This window comes from Homo sapiens, chromosome 1, assembly GCF_000001405.40.
Source record: "Homo sapiens chromosome 1, GRCh38.p14 Primary Assembly".
NCBI classification, from domain to species: Eukaryota; Metazoa; Chordata; class Mammalia; order Primates; family Hominidae; genus Homo; species Homo sapiens.
The window spans coordinates 48,004,865-48,006,294 of record NC_000001.11 but is presented as its reverse complement, the minus strand read 5'-3'; the positions used below and the strand labels follow the sequence as shown (position 1 = coordinate 48,006,294).

Here is a 1,430-nt window from a genome sequence, read left to right as displayed (position 1 = left end):
CCTGTTTTGTTTTATTTTGTTGGATGTCTTGATACCTCTCTCTCCTGGTTTTTCTCCTACTTCTGTCTCTTTTGATGAATGCTTCTCTTTCAAACTTGAAATGAATGAGTTCCCTGACTTACACCTAGGCCTTCTTCCATTCTCTCCCTCTCTTTAACAGCACCTTGGCTTCAAATATCATCTTTGTGCAATGGATACTACATTTATTCTTCCAGCCCAGACTGCTGCCCTGAGCCCCAGGCTCACTTATAAGCTGTTTTCTTCACACCTCTACTTGGATCCTAGCAAGCAGCTCTTGCTTAACATGACCTAATGGTGGCCTCTTGATACCTTCCCTCCACTCCCTCCAACCCCTGCTCCTCCCTCAGGCCTCCCTATCTCAGCTGATGGAGCCAGTTGCTCAAGATAAAAACTTCAGCGTCACCTTTGATTCCTCTCTTTCTTTCCCTCTCACATGATGTATGCCACAAAACAGTCACTGTATGTGAACCACATTTGCTCACTGTCCTCCAGTTTCACTACAATCACCCTGGGCCAAGGCACTATCATCATACCCTTTAACTACTGCCCTAGCGTCCTTACTGAATCACTCCCTGAACTCCCCATGTGTTGGCCTCATCATCCCCCACATCAAAATCTGAATGCTCTTTTACAAATGTAAATCGGATCCTGTTACCCTTCTTCAAAACCCTCCTATAGCTTCTCAGCAAAGCTGGAATTCAAACTCCTTACCTTGACCTACAAAGTCTTACTCCACCTGGCCCCTCCTATCTCTCTAATGTCATCTCTTGGAATTTCCTCCCTCATAGGAGAATCGCTTGAACCCAGGAGGCGGAGGCTGCCATGAGCGGAGATCGTGCCACTACACTACCGCCTGGGCAATGGAGTGAGACCCTGTCTCAAAAACAAACAAACAAACAGAATTTCCTCCCTCATGACCTAGGTCCAGGTTCACTGGACTTCTCTCTATTTCCTGAACTGACCAAGGTGCCTCCCCACCTCTGGGCCTTTTCCCAGCCTGTTCTCTCTGCTGGACATGCTCTTCCCCCATATCTTCTCATGGCAGACTCCTTCTCAACACTCACCAGACATTCTCTATCACTTACATTATCTCCATTTTTATTGATTTGCTTGTTTATAATTTTTCTTCTCACCTAGAAAATAAGTTGTGTGAGCAAGGACCTTGCCTATCTTGTCAACCAATTCTTTATCACCACGCTGTGATTAAGCTCTCAATGCATATATGTTGCATGAATGGATGAATGAATCCTCCCACTCTAGAGGTGGAGAAGTCACCATCACCACCACGTTCCAGACACTGAAGTAGACACACATGAGTTCATGCCACTGCTTTGCTTCAAACCCGGGCACACTGCCTTGGTTCCATCACTTACTAGGTGTGTGATTTGGGGCATGTTTTCTCTCTGTGC

At 46.1% G+C, this 1,430-nt stretch overlaps 1 annotated feature.

Moving 5' to 3' along the window:
• Positions 331-881: an enhancer, noted in NCBI's record as "OCT4-NANOG hESC enhancer chr1:48471086-48471636 (GRCh37/hg19 assembly coordinates)". NCBI's record gives its function as "activates a minimal SCP1, AML or CMV promoter by ChIP-STARR-seq in naive and primed H9 embryonic stem cells {active_cell/tissue: H9 hESC(naive and primed)}" and the evidence as "EXISTENCE:reporter gene assay evidence [ECO:0000049][PMID:30033119]".